General features: G+C 32.5%; 1 protein-coding gene across 30 annotated transcripts in view; it reads right to left on the reverse strand.

Annotated features, from left to right (window-relative positions):
* IKZF2 (IKAROS family zinc finger 2) overlaps positions 1-26,270 on the reverse strand; it is a 152,759-nt gene that overhangs the window by 52,026 nt on the left and 74,463 nt on the right. For 21 of the 30 annotated variants that reach the window (XM_047443725.1, NM_001371274.1, XM_011510812.4 and 18 more), the window contains one exon: positions 5,110-5,376. In XM_047443725.1, coding sequence (XP_047299681.1) covers positions 5,110-5,376 — 267 coding nt within the window. The remainder of the gene's footprint in view (positions 1-5,109; positions 5,377-26,270) is intronic. The other 9 variants (NM_001371277.1, XM_047443727.1, NM_001371276.1 and 6 more) reach the window with 1 other exon arrangement.

Here is a 26,270-nt window from a genome sequence, read left to right on the forward strand (position 1 = left end):
CACAAATTAAATTTTTAAAGAAAAAGGAAAATAGCAAATATATATTATACTTTTCACTCCAAAAATTTGATTTTACTTTTAAAATATGTCTACGTAAGGTTTCCCAAGCAAGTAACAAATTCGTTAACAATAACTTTACAAGAGTTAAATTACTAAGTGTGGTGAACAATTTGAAGTCATGTCTGCCTTTAGATAATACTCCTATAGCATGCTGACTCCAATTTCCTTTAAACCTCCTACAATGTTTGAGTTGAAATATTTCAAAATCCTTAATTTAGAGTAGTTCATTCTTCAAAAATAATGCTAGTCTAAAAATGAAACAATATCTTTTTTAAAAAGAATTTTAAAATTCACCTAATTGAGTTTTATGCGATTAATGAAAGGGTAATTTAGTTTTTACATTTACAAAATACTCTAGATATCTTCAAATCTTTTTAATAAGAAATTACTTCTGAATTTATATGATCATCCCCAAATGGCGTAGAATAAACAAAAGGTAGTCTAGGTATATCTGGAAATATTGTCCTGTTGCTGAGTGTGGAAGTCATACTATGGAAGTCTTTGGTAAGTTCCCAAGGACATGGGAAGTAAAGAAGAACAAGGCATGATGAAGGTAAATAGTTTTCTTCCTTTTTTTGGTAAGAGAAAAGGGGCATTGAAAATAATACATTTTAATTTCAATAAGATAAGGCTTTGGGAGATATTGATTTGAATTATGAATAAGTCTTGATAGATGCTTTTTACATTTGGATACTAATTTTATGGCTTTCCTCATTTTATTTGCCTAACTCCTGTTGATGTCTTGATTATATGAAAAGATAATTATCATTTCAAGAGTCCACTTGTTTTATTGTGTTCCAAACTAAAGTTAGTTGGAATCATAATGAAACCCTCAAAGACAATACTGTTAGAAACAAGGATTAAAACAGAGGGTAATTTATGAGATTTCTAAAAGTATACATAGTTATATTCCAGGAATAATCCAAATATAGAAGTAATATCCATATCTGTCTAATAACAAATAAAAAGTGAATTGACTCAATTTTTGATAAAGTTATTTCTATAAAACATTAGCAACCCTTTTATTGAATGTCGTGGGGTATTTCCTGGCCTAGGCATTACAGAATAAGTGTAAAATTATCTGATAATTAAGTAAAAGATTCAGTTAACTATCTTTTCTCTATGCAAATGGTACATATGCAAAAACTCCATACTGTCTATGAAACTTTAAAACAACATATCTCAATTATTTCTTGTAAATAATTTGTTCTTTAAATGGACTGCATCAATGTGCCCTTTTTGAGTCAGTTTAGACTTTGTCTGAAAAAAATATTAATCATGTTCTTCATATGTATATCAAAGCAAATTTTAAGAAAATCTCACAAATTTACTAACTACATTAATGGAGCAATCCAAGCTGAAAACATTAAGTAGTTTGTTATAACCATAATGACTAATCTTTCCCCTGGTAGGCACAAAAATCTAGACTAACAAAACTGGATCGAGGAAAATAATTAAGATATGGTCATGTGTCCTTCATGTCCATATCTCAATCTGTTGTTTTGTTTTTATTTTTAAATACAATAGAACAATCTACTGGTCCATTTTTATTTATTGACTGGGTGAGATTATATATTATTTTTATTATGGAATATCTTATATTTCAATATTTTATGTACCTTCATAAACACCTATTTCTAGACCTGCATTTAAATATTCAATTAAAATGCAAATATATATGCATCAACTTGCTTTGGTGAATCAAAGACAGAGGGTGCTCCTATGTTGGGTGGAACAACCTACAAATATGCAGAATCTCAAGCATCTGCTGAGTGCCTTTGAGCAAGAGGATGGCTGCACAAAGCTGCAATGTACAAAATACGGTGCTGAAAACTGAGTTACAAGATGGGAGTAGATTAAGGAGAGGCAAAATTAGGGAATTCTATATGTATAATGTCCAATCGATATGTGTTCATGCATGAATTGATTTACTTTCCCTATTTGTTTACTCTTCTCTCTATATTCCCAGTGAAGAGTGCCTGGAGTATCCGATGACAATATTACCTGATTACTTACTAAAGTAGCAATACCAAATCAATAAAATGAAACCATTAATAAGACACTGCAATTGGTACTTTAGTAGAGTATGACAGAGAAAGAAGAAGAGTGGATTCGATCTGATGCTCCATGATATTGTAATGAATTGGATGGTTGTGCATCTTTTTTCACTATCAATTTTATATTAGAGGCTGGGCACGGTGGCTCACGCCTGTAATCCCAGCACTTTGAGAGGCTAGGGTGGGTGGAACAACTGAGGTCAGGAGTTTGAGACCAACATGGTGAAACCCTGTCTCTACTAAAAATACAGAAATTAGCTGGGCCTGGTGGTGGGCACATGTAATTCCAGCTACTTTGGAGGCTGAGGCAGGAGGATCGCTTGAACCCAGGAGGTGGAGGGTGCAGTGATCCAAGATTGCACCACTACACTCCAGCCTGGGCGACAGAGCAAGACTCCAACTCAAAAAAAAAATTATATTAGATATTCTATGAACTAAAAACACTAAAATATATGTTTCTCAAAGGCATTATAAGGTTTTAAGACAGTATCTTTAATATGAGAGATAAACAATTGATAAGAGTGGGAAGTTCTAAAATGCAGACTAGTTCATGGTATTAAGGAGAAAACATTTGGCTAATGACTAGATTCTGACTACATTTTTCTCAATCTAGTTTAAATTAAAGAAATGCAAATAGACTTTCTAGTCTCAAAATGGTATTAAAGTGGTGTTGAAAATGGCAGGACACACTCAGATGTATAAACTGGATCATCAGAAATATGTTGAAGTGTCTAGTTTAATGATATCATGTCCACAATTTCAAAGTTGACAAAGCATGACAGGTATCACAGCTTCTCCGTAAATGGCTATTAACTTTAAGAAAAATCTAGATCTGAAGAAAGTATAATAATTTGCACAATGCTCCAATAAACACTGATTGACAAAAAAAGATAGTGTTGCAAGTGTACTTTAACATACTCCTTGCTGTTATGAGTTGAGTGAGTCTCGTATTCCTAGGATTTGTGGAAATCTGTATAACTGTTTATAAACTTTATTATGCCAATTAGATTATTTTCAAAAATAAAATAATTCAACTCTACCACACTAGTAAATAACAAAAGGACAGTAGAGTAGGTATATAATTATTATTTTATTTACAAATTAACAATCCTCATGAATATTATTGTAGCTACAGTGAATCACTGATTAACCTAAATTTTCTAAAAACTGTACTCTGGTTCTTTGAATTTTCTTAATTCAGAACATAAAAGATCAATTAAAAATCTTCTAAATACTGTTTTTAGTTTATTTTTTAGCTTAAAATTTAACATTGCATGCAATTCAACTGAAAAGCCATTAGACTGACTGTGTTTTGTTTGTATTTTACTAGATAGGAGAAGTTACACATTTGAATGAGTGTTATCTTCCTTAATACAATCACTCTTACATAATGAATATATTATAACTTTGTGGAACTTGTTTTTAGAACTGTCGTTAGAATTAGTTCATGAGCGTAGATGAAAAGTAGATTATTTTATAGTCTTTTCCCTTTACTTTTTATCAAATAGATACCAAGCTTGATCTTTCAACCTTTTCTAAGACACTTAAAAATTAAAGAAAAAAGTTACACTAGTAATATAAATATTTTTAAAACATCGTGCTGTTTAAAAAGGAGATAAAAAACGAAAAAGCAAAATGTAATTGACTGTATGATTGGAATAAGTATATATGTTCTAAAGCTGATGATTTTGATTATGATAACACTGATTTTAATGTATAACTTCTCACTGTAATTTTTAAGATATCAGCCTTAGTTTACAGTCATACCTTATAATAAATTCTTGGTATACTGACATACCAAGCAATAGTGTGTCTGAACAAAACCAGTATGGGCATCAGAAAACCCTGGTTCTAGCTTCAGCAATGCCTTTACCTACATAAGGGATAATGGACAAATCACTTGACTATTTCTTCATGTGTATTATGAAAGGTTCGTATTAAAAAAGACTTTGACCTACCTTGTATCTTTAATGTTTTAAGCACGTAATTGTTAAACTATTTAGAAATAAAACTTTTAAATAAATTTATTGTGATTTATATTTCTTCCAAAAAAGTATATTTTAAAACTCTGAGAATATTAGTTATTAATATTTTACTGTACACTACACTACTTTGCATTATAGTGAAAGCCATCATTACCATTAAACCAATTTTCATATGAACTTGAATCTTTTTTGTTAAGAGTCAACGATCCTCCTAGCTTACCACTTACTATCTCATTTCTGTTGCTTTTTAAGAAAAAAAAATTGGCAAAGGGTTTAAAAAGATTTAAATAAGACCTTCTCATTTGGTTAGTTTTCACAAAAAACTTTTCACCTCTCAAATGTTTAAAAATATAGTATGAATTAATCTGTGGGCTTTTTCCTCACTCTATCCCAGAATTACATATTCCAACCTACACACCAGCCACTATTTGTCATATTCAATCCTACATATATCCTTGCAGGAGTTATAACCAACAATTACAGAAAGATGGCAGCATCCCTGAACTACAAAAGCACCTGCCTGCTACTGAGACCTGTGGTAGGATAGGCAGAGATCAATCAGAAATTGTATTTCAAGGAGTTAACTGGATAAAGTGAAAATTATTCACTTACATAAATGCATGAGTGCCATTTTGTAGTATAAACTCTTATCTAGCAAACTATATTACCTGCCCATGGGTATGGTAAAATATGTATAGAAATACAAAAAGATTAAGTTACACAATGAAATTCTCCTATACCTTTTGAACCCTTATCATATTATTGCTATATTAAGAACTGTGGAAACTGAATCCCAAACTTCTTTTCTGATATGCTATTCAGATTTGAAGGCTGGAAGTCAAGACCCAGGCTACTCTCTGTTTTTCTGCAATCCAATACTAGCAGAATTCTGAAAAGGTAGTTTTCACCACTGCCACCCCTGAATAAAAAGGAAAGAGAATAGATGTCAGGTAATATCAACATCAGATGTCACAGGCAGTCATCAGGTTATTCTTTCAGCTGCTTACCAGTGTGACTCCTTTTATGTACCATAAGCACATTGGGCCCAATGCAAACCATGCCACAGACGTCACATTTCAGTTTACCATTCGGAAGCCGGATTCCTCCCTCGCCTTGAAGCTCCTGGACTTTCCTGTTGTCAGCCACCTCGCTGCTCTCAATTAGGGGTTCTTCTAGGCTGCTACCCTCATCATGGCCCCTGATCTCATCTTCACGGCTCAGGGGTTTCCTGTCACACTCTTCATCACTCTGCATTTCTAGCTTTACTGAATTTGCTGTAATTTGAAAAGAAGAAAATAAATTTTAAATACATGTTATGTATTCTCACCTACATCTCTTTTCTACTCATTGTCATCCTACTAAATGGATGAAAATGATATATAAAGTAGAATAGAGTTCATCATCGAATGCCATGTTAATACATACTGTGTTCTATGATATTTTAGTGAAATGTCATGGAAGTGAAGATAGCTCAGGAAAACTCTAGGTAAACAGAATGACTATTTCCTCACATATTTGTTTCTTTCACTTAGACATTTGCTTTTTAAACAAGTTTTTTTAATAATCCTGGTATTGGCTTTTGAGTCTGTCACTAAGACTCCTAGGACTGAGATAGGATTATGGAAGAAACAAGATTAAATATTGCTTAACACACTGAACTATGCCTCCTCTTAATTTAATGATCATTATGTATACTTCATATTCTCTGTTTCACATCAGAGTACTTGTATAAACCTGCTTCTGAACAGGGCAAGAGAAACAATTCAGGATCTTAATCCAGCAAATGTCTTTGACATATGAAGATACACTGTCAAGGCAATGTTCTAAAATCAAACTAAACACATATATTCAGTTTCGAGCTATATAAATGTAGTACACAGACCTCACATGCTCTTAAGTTACTCTGCCTATTTTTTCTATCTAAAAAATTACCTATGGAACATGTTGTTTGAAAATCAAAGTATTCCAACTCTAATCTATGCACACCAAAAAGCAGCTAATCACAGTAATGGCATAGCATGCATGTACACACTTGCCACTGTTAAGAAATTTAATGCCTTCTGTTTGCTGTTTTTGGATCATCCCACAGAAAAGTTGGAATTTTGTTAGCACAGCCTTCATTCTGGATTGCTGACAGAGTCTTTTCATAAAGCAGAAACAAGCTTTAAGTGAGTATCAGTTTTTTATCCAGTAATATAGAAAATTTCTTAAGAAGTCATATCAAAGTTACTAAGCAAAACAACTTATTTGGTACTACTTGATTAGAGGAAATATTTTCATAAAAAGGAAGTAAGTTCTTTTCATTGCCGTTGTTTTCTTAGAGAAACCACACAGTCTGTGATTTGTCATTAGTACTTATCACAAGAGGGTGCACTATCAAAATGGCTCTGTGGTAGAAAAGTACTGGCATTATAATCTTGAACTAATTATTTAAACTGAGTCTCATGTTTGCAAAGTACAGATGAACTCAGATTACTGAATAAAGTTCGAGCAGAACAGTTTAGGTATTAAGAACGAGGATAGTGAGGAACTTAGGTTTAATTTCACCATGTCCTTTATAAAACGGGGATGATAATGGTACCGACTTCCTATGGTTGCTGTGAGCATTAAATGAGTAAATACAGGAAATGTGCTTATCTTTTTTTTCCTGGATATATAGTGCTCTATTTCATAGGGTTTTTATGAAGATCAATCAACTTATGGTACATAAACTACTCTGAGATCTACAAAGTGATATGCATCCTTCCTGGACCCATTTCTAACAGAGTACCAACTATATTGAGTTTTACCCTATTTACAAATTGTTACTCCCTTACTAGTTTTTAAAAAGAGTTGGGACAGTATTTTATCCATCTTTATATTGCCAGCATGCTCAAGAATGTTGTGGTATATAGGAGATGTTCAAGTAGTATTCACTGAGATGTTTTACTAACTTAAGAGTTTTATTGCTTTAAACTTGCTTTGTATGTTTAAAGAACCCATAAACATGGCAAAGAAAAAACAAAAAACATAAAGAATAAAAATTACATATGAAGTTCTTTTGTAACCAAGCTCACTATCTTTCAGGCCCTATCTCAAAAGCAACCAGTATCATAATTTTCAAATTCCAAATAGTCTGAATCCATTTTATAAATCTAGCATCATTTGTTCATCCAGTTAATCATTGGAAATTTGAAATTATTTCTTGTTTCTTGCTATTACAGACATTATTTTACAATACCACATAGTTCTGTCAATCTGACAGATTAAAACTGGTATTTTATTATGGTTTTTAAAAAGCATTTTAAAATTATGAGTGAAGTTAGACATCTTTTTCCATGTTGAAACGTTCTTTATTTTTTCTCAGAATTATTTATCAAAGTTGTCTGCCCATTTTTCTATCAGGTTGTCAGTCTTTTCTCACTGAATTTAAATGCTCTTTATATATTAAGGAACTTAGCCCAGTGTTTATGATATCTTTTGCAAACATTTTGGTTTATCTCTTTACTCAAGGGCATTTTTTGGCATATATGCTAATTTCACATGTTGAATTTTTAAAGTCTTCAGTTATGGCTCCTGGATTCTATATCTTGCATCAACAGGTTTTTCCATAATCTAAGTAATTCTTCCATGGTATTTTTTCTGGTAAGGGAGACTTTTAAAATCAATGCGAAATGCTATTGGTTATCCCATATAGTGTTATATTCCATTCATAATTGCCATTTAAAATTAAAATTAAGAAAGAAAATCACTGAAAAGTGTAACTTTATACAGCATGACTTTATACCACTTAGTGTGCATAAAGTGTATCAGAATTCCATTTCAGGAATGAAGAAATACATAACTGAAAGTGTAGTTTTAGAACCTGAAACTATGAGTCTTTTAAATTTCAAAATAGCTCAGAATTATGAAGAATATGACTGACATTACACTACTAAGTTTAATTGGGAAATTAAAACATAACATGAAACAGATAAAAATGTGATTTTTAAAAGTGTGAGATATTACAAATATAGTTAGAACTTTTTATCTATAGAAGAATATACTACAAATAAATACAGAAAAAATGTATATTTTGCTAAAACCGAAATAGACAAGAAATAGTAAAGCCGTAGTAATCTATTCTCTAACAATACTATAAAGAAGTATGTTTAGAATATATGAATGTATATAATTTTGCTGTATTTATACAGTAAATCAATAAAGTGCAACACATTTTAATATACGCATGTCATACATTAAATTTTGCATTTACATGATGCATATATACAAACAAAATCCCAGTGTAACTAATCTTTCACCCATCTCACTACAATTAGGTTGAAATTCTAGAATAAAAGCAATTATTCTTTGAATCTTAACTATTACATAGAAAAGTTTTCTCCACTCATAGAAACTCTCCCATGGTTTATTTTCACTATTTAAGATGTTTGCAATTAATGTAGAACACCTAATATTTTAACTTATTAATGATTAAATGTAAGTAGTAAACTTAAGTGTATTCTAAATTATAACTTATATATATATAAGACTTTTGTTATAATATTCGTAGCTACACTATATGATGCCACAACTATTGAATTACAACTATTAACCACTGTACAATAATATTCAGAGTGCTTTACTTTTCAAATATTTGAAATTAGATTTATATGAAATTTATTTTACAATTTGGTAACACAAAGACATCCTCATAAATGGGCTATAAAGATGAAAACTTGTTCATTTGAGTAAAATGAAAAATCACTGTTACAATTCTCAATACCAAGAGTTATTTTTCAAGCTTGTTTCTCTGATATGAAATAAAGAATGTAAAACTTGGGCATATCTGTGGAAATGTACACACGTTATCATATGCTAATAAGCAATAATGGTTTAATTTAAAAAGAATTTTGCCAGAACAAACTGTTAGCAATGAAAAGGGGATATGAGACAAGATTTTAGTTTTGATGATAAAGATGTTTCTTATACTTCAGTTGTAATGGCACTTCTATTTAGCATTTATATTTATAACTGTTACATCCATATTTTAGTAGACTCAGGTTTGTGAACACAAGGAAAGAATAAGTTAATAGAAAAAAACTGTTATGGTCAAGTTTATGTAGAAAAAGCTTTGAAGATATTTCATGATAAAAAGTGCCACATATTTTTCCAAACAAAAAAAAGCTTCAGGATATAAACATTTTCATGAATTCAAGCTTTTCCCCTCTTCTTCTTTATGCTTTCAAAATACTATTTATAAACACTAGAATGTAATCTTGATGCCATAAAAACACCTAGTTTAAGCAATTCCACTTACAAATTACAAGAAGTAAAGACACTTGCACAGATACTCTTTTTTAAAGTGAATTTCAAGCCAAACAATTTTCAATTATAAAAGTTCCTTCAGTAACCATTCTAGGCTCTCTACAATCAAAGGCTTCACAATAGTCATTGCTTCCAGATACATAATAGTGAATGGACAGTTACACTAGACTTGCCTTTAATTCACTAATATGATAATAAAAGGATAACTGAATAAAGGCCTTTACACAGGTAAACAGGTATAGATCATTGTGAAAAAAAAGTAGAATCTAAAACCAAATGGAGCAAAATCATGTTATTTTGTGAATCTATTAAAAACAAATTAATTTAATCCAATCAATGTCATAATGGACATTTTCTTTGCCACCATTGTACTTGAAAAAGTAAAAAAAAAAAATCAAAACTCAAATTTTACTCACATAAGAATGAAAAGGATAATAAAATGCACAACAGTCATTACATACATTTGTAGACCTTACATTCATTTATAGAACTCATCTACCTTAGCCAATAAAGAACAAAGACAGCACTGAATTCTCTTAAAAAATCATTAAACCAGTAAATATTTATTAAGTATCTACTACTTGCCTAATACTTTGTCAATAATAATAGTAAAGGTTTAAAGCTAAAGCAAAAAAAATACTATTAACTTAAATAAGTAACCCATATTAACACAAGAGTATGTACTCCAAAAATGGCCATAAAAGAGTTCATGAGTTAGAATACAGGAAATATTTTACAAACATATGTAATTTGGTTACATAATAAATTTATTGAACTGAACAATATATAAATGTAAAAAGGCACTTCTTTAAAACCTGGACATTTTACTTTACTACTTTTTATGCTATAACTTCACAAAGTCACCCATTTGTGCAAGACAGCATATGATTTTGCAGTCTGGAAATTTATTTCTTCAATAATATGAATTCTCAATTTTTAAAATTTTTAAGAAAAAGATCACTTTATATGCATGATAAATATATTAATTTTAAATTTTCAAATTAAGATAATAAATTCTACCCTCATCATTAGAATTTTATTTTCACAAACTGCTATAATTTTTAAATGTCAAGTTCTGGAAACACCATACATAGTAATGAGAACTGAAAATATCAATTTAAGACATTTTTAAATATACATATTAAACTTTCTACAAGTTAAAACTTTATTATTAATATGACCTGATTCTACTAATCTACAAACAAGTTAGTCAAGTTTCCTAACCAGGAAAATAATGCAGAGGGATTATGATTTATTTTCTCTATTTAAAGTGATGTATTTATTGATCTTATAGAGTATAAAATAAGCTTTCTAGTTTAATTTCTATGAAATTGGTGACTTATTTTTGTTTAGTTGCCAAAGTGTATATTTTAATTTTAATTTTTAATTTTTCAAGGAAGTAAATATTATGGGAATTAAATATTTTTTTCACAGTGTGGAACAGAAGATAGTAAAATACCATTCTTACTTACCAAATGAAAAAAAGTGTATTTCAGGTGTGATGTGTAAGTGGACTTTTTATATGGTTGGTTTCTGTTCCCTGGCAATTCAAGTGGGCACTTAAGGGATTTTATAACTTATAAGCATGAACATTTCCCAGTCTATGCCAGACACTTGAAATGGTGTTATATACACTAATTGAACCAATATGGCTATCTAATAATTTATTGAAGTTGCTTCTACACTAATATAACTCTCTCTCACGTAAACTTTCTAAACAGAAACACCAAACATGATTAAATCCATGTTAATATCCCAACAGCTGTTTAAATAATGTGTTAGGAAAACAAAGTGCCTTCAAAACTGTGATGTAAAGCCCAATTATTTACTAAGAATTTACCAACAGTCTAAACAATTAAAGTAAAACCACAACAAAGGTATATGCAATCATTTTTTAATATCCTCAGCAAAATTTCATGCAATGTATTTGTTCCTTTTGACTGTGGATAAATAAATGGATGAGTCTTGAAAAACAGTTTCTTCACAACATCCTTAAAGAATTTGTTTTATAAACGGTGGGACATGTCCAGACACTGGTGTCACTGAGCTGCAGCTGAGCCACTTCTGGGTAGCATTCTAAATCTGTATATCACATCACCTCACTTTTCTCTCCATCCTCTTTCTTCTCTGTTCAATATAGCTATATTATGTATTTCTTAAACCCACTGGAGTTACTCCAGATCAAGACAGTACTGATTTCTGAAATACTGTTATTATTCCAACAATAGTGTAGTAAAGTTACCCTGCACCTGAAGGCAGAAAACCAGGGTCTCTACCACCTCTTCTGCCATTTAACTTGTTATGGGACCTTGGGAAATTTGTTTATCCTGACTCAGCCACTAGTACCATCTAAAATATGGGGGGAAATAACACTTGATGTTTCTGAAAACAGCAGGCTAGATAAAATAATCTCTGGTAGACTACAGATTTAGAATCCTTTTAATGATAATAGTAATGATAATAATAATAGAAAAATAAAACAGTTTTTATGATTTATAAAATACTGACATATTCTTTTTTGATACTCAGAATGACTGCATTGTAGGAAGGGTAGCCACAGATAAACACTGAAGCATGGTTGTTAAGTGGCTATTGAAAGGATACAAGTTAGTAAATGTGAACTTGATATCAATTCAAGATCTTTTGACTCGTAGCCTATCCATCCTTCTATGACATGATACTGGCTCTCCAATGAAACAAGTAACTTACATTAGTATTATATTTAGGACAAAAATCAGTCATAGGCAAACAGTTCTTACGGTAGCTGTAAAACTATGTCCACCAGTTGAAGAGGATACCAGAAACTTAAGTCCCGAATGGTCAGATAAAGAAATGTTAAGTTTCCATAAACCAAACTATTGAATTATGACTTTCTATCAAAACTGGGATGCATGTCTCACTCAAAACAACTACCTCATAATTTTAAAATTTGCTTTGCTGTTGTCAAGGGTATGTCCATGCAGTACACCTAGTTGCTGAAGAATCTGTCAATATTCAATCTTTTCCTCCTCCTCTCTATTTTTTTAACATTAATTTCTATACTCCTTGTCCTGCTATGAATTATCGGTGGTAGGTTAAGGCAGCAATTTGAGCAGTAAGTCAATATTATCAATTTTAATCTCTAAACCAATAGTTTATGAAGGATAGCATTTCAGGATTTCCTTTGTGGTCAAGTTTTGACAGTCTTGTGTCAATTATTGATATAAAGATAAATCACACCTGTGAGTTGGTAATGTAGAATTTTATCTACATTTAAACAGATCTTGGCAACAAAATAAAGACCAAAAAGTTTCCTCCCTACTTTCATGGAAAAAAAATGTAAACGAATGGAGGGCAAAATATCTAACTTCCTGATGATCCTGCACACTCCATGAAACCTTGTATAGCGTGCACATCATCAAAATACACACCTTTATTAGCTAACACAGTAGCACCATTGTGGCCCACAGACGGAGTTTCTATTTTTTGGCGGACAACTAGTTCATGAGAATTATACAATGCAGAGAAAATAAACCTACTTTAAATAGAAATGCCTCAGCCAAACAGCAGTCTATCCCTTTATCCAACCTTTCGATGAATGATTTCATTTGCCAAGTCCTAAAGGTTCAATATCTTCTATGTCTTGCACATCTGTTTTTGCATCTTCTTGGGCAATACAACTACTTTAAGATCCCCATGACCTCTCACCTGGAACAATATCAGAAACTTTCTAACTGGTCTCTTTCCTTCAAACTTTTGCCACACTCTTCTCCCCCAATTCATCTATATTCAGTTGTTAGATTAATCTTCCTATTGCAGAGTTCATATTACTCTTCTAAATGTCTTCAAGAACTGCCTACTGCCTACACATTAAATACAAAGGTATTGGTATGGAATTTAAGAATATCCAAAGTGTAGTCCCATCATATCCTTCAGCCATATGTCCTATGAGTCTTTTAGTTACTCATGCCTTTTCCAGTGAAACCACTGTCCTCAGTTTTCCAGAAACACATTTATACATCTCTACTTACTAGGTTTTTTTGTTTTTTCTCAAGCACCTGCTTTTATTTTCTGGGATACTTCCCCTATTTCTATAAAAATTAGCACATCATTAAAGGATCACTTATCTGCTACCTTTTTTCATGAGTGTTTTCTGAGCAAAAAGTTCTTCTCCTATGAAATTTACTTCACTTTACATTACAGTGATTTCATCAGAACATTTGCCTTACCTCTACACTGCCTATAGTGTAAGGTCCTTGAGAGGAAATACTGCCTTTATTCATAGTTGTAAAATCATTCTATCCTTACACATACAAAGCACCCAATATGTATTTGTTGAACCAGTGCTGCTGATTTACGTATGATATTTCTGTTTTTAAATTACGAAGACCTCACATAAATCAAATACACATGATGAATAAATATAACAATACAGATTTAGGTTTTAAACACAAATCATCAATATCAAAATAACATTAATTAAAGAACCATTAATGACAGGAAAGAATTTAGGTGCGTTATATATATCAACTGAATTAATCAAAATAGCCACTCCATGAAGTACGTAATTTTATCCTCATTTTACAAATGAGGAAACTGAAGCTTAAAATCAGTGAAGTAACACATTCAATTCATACAAATATTGAGAGTCAGAGCTGTGACTGGAACTCAGAACTGATGACCAAATTCTTGCTATTTCCCTATGATGCCAAAAGCAAAGTAGCTAGTAATAGTAAAGAAAAAAAACAGATGTCAATATGTTAAAGAATGATACCTTTGAATCAGTGTATACAATCTGATATGTTTTTTACTCCACAGTGGAATACAGGTGTAGCAGATTGCCAGTCTGAGGTAAAGAGAAAGTTGTCTGAGTAAGCCTGTTTTGGAAGAAGACCAGCTTACACTGCCAAATTTCCTGAGCGTGGATTTTATTTCATATAAGAGCAATCTACTTTGAACTGGTGTTTGGCAACCATCTGCTTAACGTAACTGTAAGAGGCTTGTGAAGCAAATTACATTGTGAAATTATCTTTTTAATAAGAGCAGTACAAAATTCTTAACCTAACTTCTGTAAGAAGTAAAATCCAGCTGAGTGGGTATGTTCCCAAAGGGACCCACAAGGATTCCCAGAGGTCACTAAGGACGCTTAAACAAGGTCAGAAGGCAAGGCTGCTGGCGGCTCAACAGAAAGAGATAAGGAAGAGAGCAGGATTTCTATCACTGGGCAACGGCAACAGAGGGAGGGAGGAGCCAAAGCAGTGCAACACACTTCAGCAGCTTTACCGGGTCTCTGAAGTGAAGCAACAGGGGAACCCAACAGGTTTCCATACCCCAGGTTCAAACATCCCTGGGTCATACACATTGACATCGAGGCTACAAAAGTTCTTTCCCTGCTGTTCTTCCATAAACACTGTACTACTGGTCTGAGTCAAATAAACAGAGTCTGCATTTGGCCCTCAGATGCAGGATTGGTCAGTTAGAAATTAATAACCAGTAAGATCTATCAAGTAGTGAGAAAGAGAAAACTTGTGGTGATTAAGGGGAATTAAAGCAATTTTTGACAGATCAGTGCCAGATACTTATTTTCCACAATGTAGCAGCAGCAGTTTGTTGTTGTTGTTGTTGTTCTTCTTCTTTACAATGCTCATACCTAGTTTTCTACTCCTAATGAATGAATGAGCATTTTAAGTAGGATTACAGAATGCATATAATTAAAGGCAAAAACATTTACAAAGCATCCTATGAAGTATTTAAATCATGGAAATACCAGATTATAACATCTATGTTTAAATGCTTACTTATATAAATGTTGGAAGCCACTTGCTAGCTCCCTGCTTCCTACTGTATGAAGTGAAGATAATATCCTCTACATTAAAACTGTGAAGACTGGAAAAGCATGCAATCACTTAAAGCAAGCAACATAGCCCTGTGGTTAAAGAGCAAGGGCTCTAGGTCCAGCACCCTGGAGTTTAAGGCCAGGTTCGTTCATTTATAAGTCACATGACCTTAGGAAACCTAAGTTTCAATTTTCTCATCTATAAAATCAAAATAATGACAACAGCTGCCTCCTAGGGTTGTCCTGAGTATTAAATAAAATTGTATAAACAATACACTTGGAACTACTTGCTTCTTATTAATATATCTATGTGAAAGCATTTCATAAGTATCAACATCAAACAAACATAAATCTGGGGTTATGTTTACTACATGGAAGTACAGGGAAGATGCAGAAGGCTTTATGAAGGAAATGGCATGTAAAATAGTACTAAAAGTTGGATATGACTTATATAAAAGAAGAACTAGATGGCACTCAAGATAGGGGCAAGCATGAAGAGAGGAAAAAGGCATGAGTACATGTTGGTTGTGAATGACACCATTTTTTCCAGAATGGATACACTCAATGGATAATATACAATAGAACATATCCTAAAACCACAGAGCATTTAAAATTGAGCAAAGTACAAGAGAATTAATGCTTGAATGGCAGTAATTTCAAAAGACAAATGCTGTTAACTTATTAATAGGACAACCAAGTATGAAGAACTCTTAAGAAATCATTCAAAATTACTCACTGAGCACCTGCTCTGTACCAGGCACCACGAAGCAGTAGTGAACAAGACAGATACATTCCCTGCTTTTATGGCACTAGTGAAAGGTATGCATATAGATATATGTGTCTGTCTTTTTATATATATAAGCAACTATGCACTGTAAAATATTTAATGAGCAATACAAGGATTCATAAGCCCCACACCACCATGCCAGAATATTCAGCTACTATAAAACCTCAGTGCAAAATATAGAGCATAAATAATCAACAAATATTCTCATAAGATCACTAATTCAAAAAGATAACTTCTCATTGTAAGTAGTTACTTTAAGCATGCCATCCTTGTATTTGTGAACTGAAGTCTTGGTTATTCAATGAGTTATCTCCATTTCTAAATCACCATTTAAACAGCTTTCTAAAGCTCATAACTAAAGTATGTGAAACATATTAAAGTGATGACTATGCACCATAGAAAGCAAAGTAGACAGACATATAAGGTATAGTTAAAGGGCATATAAATGGCTTTCTTTTAACACTTGTGTATGTATGATATTACATTAATCAGATGTAAGAGAGTTCCTTATCCATTTAAAAATACTTCTTTTAGAATACTTGATGCTTTCTGGTCAGGTAAGTAGATCAAAATTTATACAAACTGGGTTTTATTTCTTCTATTAACTGGTGATTTAGCACTGAAGATCACATCTATGTCACCTGGAATTGTACAAGTTACCTTCTAAGGGGCTTAGCTTCCTTTTCTGTGAAATAAAGGTAATGCTACCGATTTGTGCAGGTAAAATGCTTAAAAGCCTACCTGCCTGAGGTTAAGGATCTTAAGGTCCCTTCAATCTATGGTATCTATCTATGATTACAGAATACAACCAGACTATTCTTTAAGTTTTCCATAAATAACAATTTGTGTAATTGGTAATAGTTATTGGTCACTATTATAAGTAATAGTATAAATTTATTTATACAAAATCTGGGGTAAAGATCTACCTTTTAGATCACATATTTGAAACGTCTGGGCATGCCTAATTCTATGTGTTCAGGTGTTTCTGAGGGTCATAGGTAAAAGCATGTTTAAATGTGAATGTACATTTATACATATGCATAGTAATATACTGGAAACCTAGTTGGTATGTGTGCAGGATGTTCTTTATTAAGCAATAAATGTTAGCTACTTAAGCAAAAGATAGTGCAATGTGATAAATGTGCCATCCCCATGTGTTTCCTTCAGTTGAATGTTGGCTAGTATCCAGGAGGGAGAAAACACACACACACACACACACACACACACACACACAACATACTCAAAACTTTAAAAAGAAAAAAGAAGTGCTACAACCTTCACAAAAAGCATAAAGTCCTTGACTCAAATAATGTTATGAAGACTCTTCTGAATTTCTCTTTTTCTCTACTTTGTCCCCGTCAGGATGTGAACCCTGCCATTATGTATGGCTTGCGGCTGTTTGGGAGTTTCCTCCCCATCTGGGACTAAGAGGCAAATTGCAGGTTTCCAGGGAGGGGAATGCTGTTACAGTAGGGATCACCTCAGCACTTCACATGGATTGTGCCTAGCCTAGTGATACCAGCTACCTTGATCCCTGTGACAAGCTAGCCACCAGGTTTTGTACTCTTTGTTACTGAAATTATGTAAGGTATTAGTTTTAGAAGCCTAAAGTCTTTGTTTTCTCAAAGGCTATAAACATATGAATAACCATTAAAAGTTATTTTAATCTTCTTCCACCTTTAAAATGAATGCAATTATTTCAGGAGCACAAGAATTCCCGAATCTACGTTTTTGTCACTCTCATCTTCCAAAGCCCACTGTCTTCTTTCACACTCCTAGCAGGTTGCCTTTGTTCAAGGCAGCACATGCTTACTAAAAGCACCTGACAGCAATTACCGCAATGAACTTTAAATCTTTTTCCTCTAACTACTGTAGTATTCTAGAAATAATGACACAACTTCTCACTGCTTTAAAATGTCAAGCTGACCACTCAGAAATTCAAGCTATGTTTCTCCAGGAAGGTCCAAATGATGAGACATTTTATGTGCCTTCCATTTTATCTCCTGTTCCATTACTACACTGCCTAACACCTTCACAGTATAGCAACACCTCCTGGGACAAGCTGAAACCTAAATGAAACACAAAAGCTGCAACCTGAACAAAGTTAGCAATATGTTTTTGGCAAGAGTAAGCTGTTTTTTTCTTTTCTTTCCATGATCTGACACTATCAGCTGAATTAATTTTATTTTCTTCCTCACAGTGCTATTTCTAAGTAGATTAAACCTATTGCATGACTAATTTACCTAGTGGCAAGGTAGCCTGCCTTTAATTGTGCGATATTTTTAACCATAAACACCTAACACACTCCATTATTTTCATGCATTTTGAGATTAAGTTTATATTCAAATGTCTGGTTTGACTTTCACACTCAGAGGAAAAAAAAATTCCTTTCAGAAATTTGAACTAACTTCCTTAAACTCAGGAAGCTTTAAACTTCCAGCTGACACAAGAATTATCAGTTTACAAGGTTCATATGAATACAGTAAAATCCTGATAGTTTTTCAAATAATATGGAAAACACAGGACATATTTTAACTATGCTTAGTTATGGGAAAGAGATGCCCATTATTAAGAGATCAAGTTAAGCTTTAAATGCCATTATCTTTAACTACATAGCAAAATTAAATTAAGGAATAGAATCCTGAAGAATAGCTTTTACAGATAGAAAACTTAGCTTCTTCCTTTACATATTAAAACTCCTGTTACTACTTACATCTAATATATAAAGAGTGTGGACTTGGGAAGTCACTGGATTGTATTCCAGGATCAGGGAATTCACTGATTTTCAGGATTCCCTCTTGCCATCATCACTTTCCCATAATAACAGAAAAACAAATAAGCAAATCAATTTATCAAATACCAATTTATAGAGTACAGTATACACACTAGACACTGTTAAGTATTGGATCTATAGGACTAGACAAGACAGGCTTATAGTCTGGTTGGGGATACAGACAAACCTAACAAGGTAAGCAGTTCTCAGACAAGGACAGTACAGAACGCCACATGGGAGCACGGTCTCAGTGCAAAATACAGTGTTTGAGAGGAACTAAAAGGAAAAGACAGGAGAGTCAACGACGGTGTCCAGGTCTCTCAAAATAATACTGCTGGAAAAGAAAGGTTTAAGGCCCTTAAAGGTTAAAATCCAGGGCCAATAGGGCCACAGGAATTTATTATTCTGTGGGCTAGTTTTGTGAAATTGGTAGCAATGGAAGGAACAAATGAACAGAGAGGGAAAAGTACTAACATCTAGTGAAGGTGCATTTAGTTGGGCGTCCTTCAACATTAGCCATTTAATTACCAAACAAATCTTTCCAATAAGTATTAGTTTCATTTTATACAAAAGGAAGCTGAGGATCAGGACCACATCACAATGTTGAATAATACTGTGTGTCTGAACCAGCCAAATACCCTCATTATGTATATCACTGGCTATAAAAGAAACCAAGTTGGGGGAAAATGTTTCTACAAATATGGGAATTCAAAGTCTTTTTCCATTAATGGGGCCATTTATATTTTACTAGATACTATACAAACAAATATTTATTAGTAACTGATATCTGAATATTACGGAATAAAAATATACAACATTTAAAAACACAAGCTCATTTACTAAGTAATAGGCAAACAAGTGAAATGCAACAAAATAAACAGAAAAATGCAAAGAATCTGCAGAGAAAAGGAATTGAATGTAACGAGTGAGTTTAAGAACTGGGCTTTTACGCCCGGTTTCAAGGTGATAAAATGTGAGTGTTCATTCCTTCACTCAACAAATATTTATGGGGTAAGACTTTTGTACCGGACACACTGCTAAGCACTAAAGATACAGTAACAATCAAGCCATAGTCCTAACTTCATATTCTGTTTATATTAGGTGGAGACAAGAAGAGATCACAATCCCACTACAAGTGTCTGTCTGTGTGGAAGGAGAAGTATAAAGGCACAGAATTGGGAAGAAGAAAGGCTCACAGCAATTCACTTAAATTCCTGAACTAAGGACTTGTAGCCCTACCATATATCCCTTTATCAGAAAGCAGAATATTTACTGTTGAAGATACATGTCAGTATCAACAGGTAGTTCTCACTAATACTTCCTAGCCTGTTTCCACGACAAATATAAACAAAATTATATAATTGTCTTTTTTCACTATGAACTTAGCCCTACAATGCAAGCAAAACCTAAAAATATTAAAATGAAACACACACATACACACACACAATTTTTGAATGAAAACCTAAAATGAAACCTCTTCAACCCATTATATTCACCATCATTAGATACAAGATCGCTATGACAAGTAATAGAACATTGGTCAAAAATAATAGCTTGGTTAAAATTTCTTCATGCTGATAATAGTTGCAAGCTTTCACTATGTTGCCATATTATCAGTCTTAATGAAATTCACTTGTCAGTTCTGTTTTGAAACAGTGAATTCTCGCCCAGCATGACAGGGGTAAAATTAAAATCTCTTTTCTCTTCCCAATCAAATCAGCTAACGATGAAATATAAGAAAGGAGTAACTCGGAAATTTCTGTCACTAATTGGTCAAAAAAAAGATTAGTTTTCAGATTCCTTTCCTTTGTTTTTTTTTTTTTCTGTTTCGACTGATGATCTCCCTAAATGTTACTAGTCAGCTAATTCTTTTCTTTAAAAACTCATTTTGTCGCCAGCAAATATATTGAGTAAAACTTGCTGAAAATACACAGTGTTATACAATAGTAAGGAATAATGCAGTAGACAGTCTACAATCTGCAGATTTTATTATCATTATCGCTCACTGGGTATTGAACTTATCCCTGTAGTGGAATAATGTCACCAAGCAGCTCATTCAAAGATAGACAAGGCAAAGATACCTTTCTACATACTGACTTTAGTTACAAACTTTTATAAGCCTTAGTGAATTTCAGCACTCTTGAAAGTTAAGTCTGTTAAGAGAAAGGACCATATTTATTTGTTTCCCCATTTATAGGGCACCTTATCAAGCCTTGCATATTAGGTACATTAAACTTTATATTTTTCTAGTGTTTTTATTTTAAGCTTTTGCTGAAAACTGTTAAACACAGCAACTCAATAAAAATTAAGTATGGCCTAGAAGAAGAAATAAAAATTCAACGAAAATGACACATGAACACGAAATCTAAGGCACTGGAACCCATTCAGTTAGAGACTGAATTTATGCTGTTTTATAAATTTTATTCTGCTTAAGCTTCTTCAATACTCTCAAATGATGGTCAATCAATGTTTCCCTTTTTCATTCATTTAATAATGCATAAATTCAGTAAATATTCAGACAGAATACTTATCCAGTATAAGTACAGTATTGTCTCGGATGCAAGAAAGCAGAAGGTTTACAGGAATAGATGTAAATATTTTACTTAAAAACCTTAAGGTCTACTTAATACGTCATAAGTCCATATTCTTTGTGATTTGGGGGAAGTGGAAAATGAAGACTGTTTTCCACTCCTTGAAAAACATCACAAATAAAAGTTAATACGAGGAGCTAATATAGTTAATCTGGTACTAGAAACTGAGATACAATAAACCAATCACTGAACTAGAAGTAAGATTCCTAGGTTCTACTGCTGGTTAGTGATGGAGTTCAGTGAGTAAGAGTGGAGGTAAATGTTAGTGTCTCAGTTTCCCAATAAGTAACCAGAAATAAACTAACTCCATATTTACCACAGAAGAAGTATACAAAAATTAAACAGAAAACACTGCCAGGAAAATATTAAACAAATGATAGTAATCCATTATTGACATGATCTATGTTTCATAAATATAAAAAGGTTTTAGAGTATGACAGTTATTCAAATGTTTAATAGCATGTTACACCTTTGAAAGAGGTAACACTACAAGAAAAACAACAGAAAAATCAATGTACACTTCACCTTTCCAAAATGTAAAGCATATATTAAACAAATTAAATGAAAATCAGGGAAGTGAAAGCCATGTTAACTTCCAACGAATCAGAAGTCCATAAAAACTTATGAATAACATAATTTTTGTTTTCTTTGAGATGGAGTCTTGCTCTGTCGCCAGGTCTGGAGTGCAGTGGCACGATCTTGGCTCACTGCAACCTCCACATCTCTAAATAACCTAAATTTTAAAAATTCAGAATGATGTGAAGAATTATCTCTAAAGTAACATCCAGAAGTAGAAAAAGATAAATTTCCATTTCACAATCCCTGGGATCCAGAAACTTGTACCTATTTGACCCAGCTCCTATAATCATATTTCCCTGGTCCCTTGAATGTATTTTACTATCCTCTCAAACTGAGAAAGTGACAATATTCATTATTTTGTTGCAAATATCCAGAGCACTGATTTAAATATCATACAAATGAAAAAGATTGAAAAGAAAAAACTTTGAAGAGACACATCCATCTCTAACTAAAAACATGAACAGAGTAGCAGTATTTTGCCCTTTACTTTTTAACCCCATATAAAACTAAGTCAAGGAAAATATATTATTCTGACATGTTTATAACTATTACATAAAATCAACTATCACCTAACTACAGGAATGTGCTCTGAGAAATGTGTCCTTAGCTGTGAACACTATCAAGTGTACATCACAAATCTAGATAGGATAGCCTACTTCATACCTAGGCCGTATGGTATATATTGCCTGTTGTTCCTAAGCTACAAACCTGCACAGCATGTTACTGTACTGAATACGTAGGCAATTGTAACCCAATGGTATCTACATATACACAGAAAATGTATCTTAAAAATACCCTATTTATAATATTATGGCATCACCGCTGTATATGTTGTATATGTGGTCTATCATTGAAAAGTTATCAGGCATGCACATGACTGTACATATTTATGTCAAATATTAAAATCCAGATGGAACATTAGTTAGAATAACAAAAGCCTAACAAAACTCTTAAATCCAATCAATGGATTTTGCTTACATACATATTTTTTAGAAGACTGACATTGCATTACCACATAGAAGCTGTGATTCAAATTTCACTAAGAATCTAGATTCTGTTCTGTACTTTGGTCTTTGCCAAGTTTTGCTACAGTAATAGAATGCCAAATTTTCTGCAATTATTTCATTTAGGAAAAAACCTTCTCTTAAACATTCTATAAAAATTTGATTCATCAAACCTTATTAATATGATGATGAATTTATTACAATTGTATTTAAATGGTTATTAAACGTAAGCCTAAATTATTCAGGCTAGACAGACAAGCATGGATCCTGAAAAGGCGGTTTGTTTTCTTAAAACTAACTTCCAGTTATTTCAGATTTCAACTATGTGTGTACTTTTCTAGAAGACAATTCTAAAGTGGCTTTCAAACTGTTCCTTGGCTATACACTATACAGATACTGAGACAGTCTCAATAAAAGAGAAATGCTGAAGTCTATACTACCTTATTTCATTCAGTTAAAGTTTTGTTCTGTTCTGCTGGCTTAATATGGCCTTATCGTTATTTCAACACATGTCCCATTCCCATTTATTAACATTAAATATGAAATAGTAAATCTCACTGGGAAAAGTTTTCTAAAAGCTAATCGCTGCTTTAGAGAAACAATCTATTGGCACATGCTGTATGTGTTTATGTTCATTAGCAAACTGGCCATTGCAATACTTCAAATTAGGGTATCAGCTGAAATATTAGGTTGATGCCAAAGTAACTGTGGTTTTTGCCATAATATTTAAAATGAACCAAGAAATAAATACAAATTCCAAGTACTTTCAAGTTATACTCAGTAGAAAAAATATATATCTTATCCTATATTTGAGTTCCCCCAATGTGGATGTTGTCATAATGTCATTAGTAGAAGTTTATTTTTTAAAGTGACAGTTTGCTCCAAATGTCACCTAAATAAATATTATTTATCAACTCTCATTTGAGAATCTGAATACAAGTATTAATTTTCTGAGGTCACACAGAAGTTTTCTTTTAACAAAACTAGAATCCTCAAAGGAAACATTTGATTAATTTTTCATTAATTGATATATACTGACACAATAACCATTAAGTAGTTTATGTTAAACACACCCAGTGTATTTTAACCATCCTCGTTTGGGTGAGAAATGAAGATAAAATATTTTCATGTGACCTCTATCTTGATATTATACAAGCACTGACATTCAAACTAAAGAATATGGAAAGAAGATTTTTGATTTTTCTCTGCCTGGGAATAATATTATCAAAGAACTCATAAAATAATCATAAGCAAATACTAAGAATACACCACCACCACACTCTACCAAATTTAGGTTAATGGCACATAGCAAAGAGCAGAGCAGATAAGGCATCACAGAAATTCATATACAAATTTAAAACACACAGACACACTAATGACTATGTTTTTAAATCACTGATTGTAAAAAAACAAATAATGTTTTCCCAACGCTTTCCTACACATCATGTAAACTAAACAGGATTTTTTTTAAACAGGCAGGGAAAAAAGTGAACGGAAGTAAACTTCATGAAACCCCATTACAAAACTAATGCTTTTCCTAGGGATAAAGTCATATGCACCATCACCTAGTTTTCCACTAGAAAAAAAAATAGAAAACTCTTTTTATAGAAATTCCATTTATTCTAAAACACCGAAACAAAACTACTATATAATCTCATTTTCTAAAATAATAAACACAAAATTCCTAAACATGTAATATAAACAAGAGAAGAATAAGACAGAGAACTATTTAAACACAAATAATGTGTAGTAGGCATAGAATCCCAACACAAAAATTAAACATGGTGGTTTGCGATACAGTTATACTGATATAACATCTATCGATCTATCTTCAGCAGTTGTACTTTATTTAAATTAAATGAAATATGTATGTGAAGTGCTTTTTAACTCCAAACGTAAATTCATATATTCACTGCTAGTTATTATAATATTTTTGGAATTAAATGTTTAATATAGAAAAGAGAATAAATGAGATATGTCATTTCCCTATACTTAATACCATGGAATATTTATCTTCAATTGTTTAGGATAAATTATGATATTTTAATTTAAAAGAAGCTTGAGAGATGTCCAACTTCCAAATTCTACATCCAAATTCTACAATTCACTATTAAGAAATGAAAGTCCAGCTACTCCGGAGGCTGAGGCAGGAGAAGGGCGTGAACCCAGGAGGCGGAGCTTGCGTGAGCGGAGATCGCGCCACTGCACTCCAGCCTGGGCGACAAAGCCAGACTCCGTCTCCAAAAAAAATAAATAAATAAAAGAAATAAAAGTATATGAACTTAGTGAGTCTGAAGACATACAACTAATATATAAATCATTTCAAGGAAAATTTTGGTTTCCTCAGAATAAAAGATTGTTACACACAGGTACAAGTTTACCAAAAGGACTGTGGAATATCTTTATGCAAGCTGCTTAATAATTATCCATCTTATATACATGAAATTCACTGAATCTGGTATAGAGAAGGCTTATTTTAAGGATTTTCTAGTGACTTAATTCTACATTTACAGAATTCTAACACCAAATGAATATGATAATAGTGAACAAATAAGTGTATTAATGTGTCACTTGTTTAAATCAGTGGTTCTTAAAATGTATCCATGAAAAGCACAAGTGTTATAGATATTAAATTGTAGTATTCCATAGCTCAAGTAAAATAATACTAGTCTTTTTTCCATCACAGAAATATGAATTTCTTGAACTTTCTGTATTTAAATTTTCTCTAATAATTTATATTAAACCACTGCCATGAACTACCTCTTATCTATAGTGAATGCTGTCAATCAACAAAATGAATGAAAATAGTAAGTAAGTATGAACTATAAAAATGGGAAACAATCTTAACATCTTTGCAATTTGTTTTTTAAATTTTTTTAATTGACCTTTGGGCTTCCAGTTCTGATACTATTCTATGTACTTTTTTTTTTTTTTTTTTTTTTTTTGAGACAGAGTCTTGCTCTCTCGCCCAGGCTGGAGTGCAGTGGTGCAATTTCGGCTCACTGCAAGCTCCACCTCCCAGGTTCACGCCATTCTCCTGCCCCAGCCTCCCAAGTAGCTGGGACTACAGGCGCCCGCCACCATGTCCGGCTAATTTTTGTGTATTTTTAGTAGAGACGGGGTTTCACCGTGTTAGCCAGGATGGTCTCGATCTCCTGACCTCGTGATCCACCCTCCTCGGCCTCCCAAAGTACTGGGATTACAGGTGTGAGCCACCGCACCCGGCCTATTCTATGTACTTATTTTTTTTAATCATGTTTACATTAGTTTGGAAGATAAAATTCTATCTATATTTCTCTCTAAAATCTAGCTTTGTTTAATCTATAACACAAG

This window comes from Homo sapiens, chromosome 2 (genome assembly GCF_000001405.40).
Source record: "Homo sapiens chromosome 2, GRCh38.p14 Primary Assembly".
Lineage (NCBI taxonomy): Eukaryota > Metazoa > Chordata > Mammalia > Primates > Hominidae > Homo > Homo sapiens.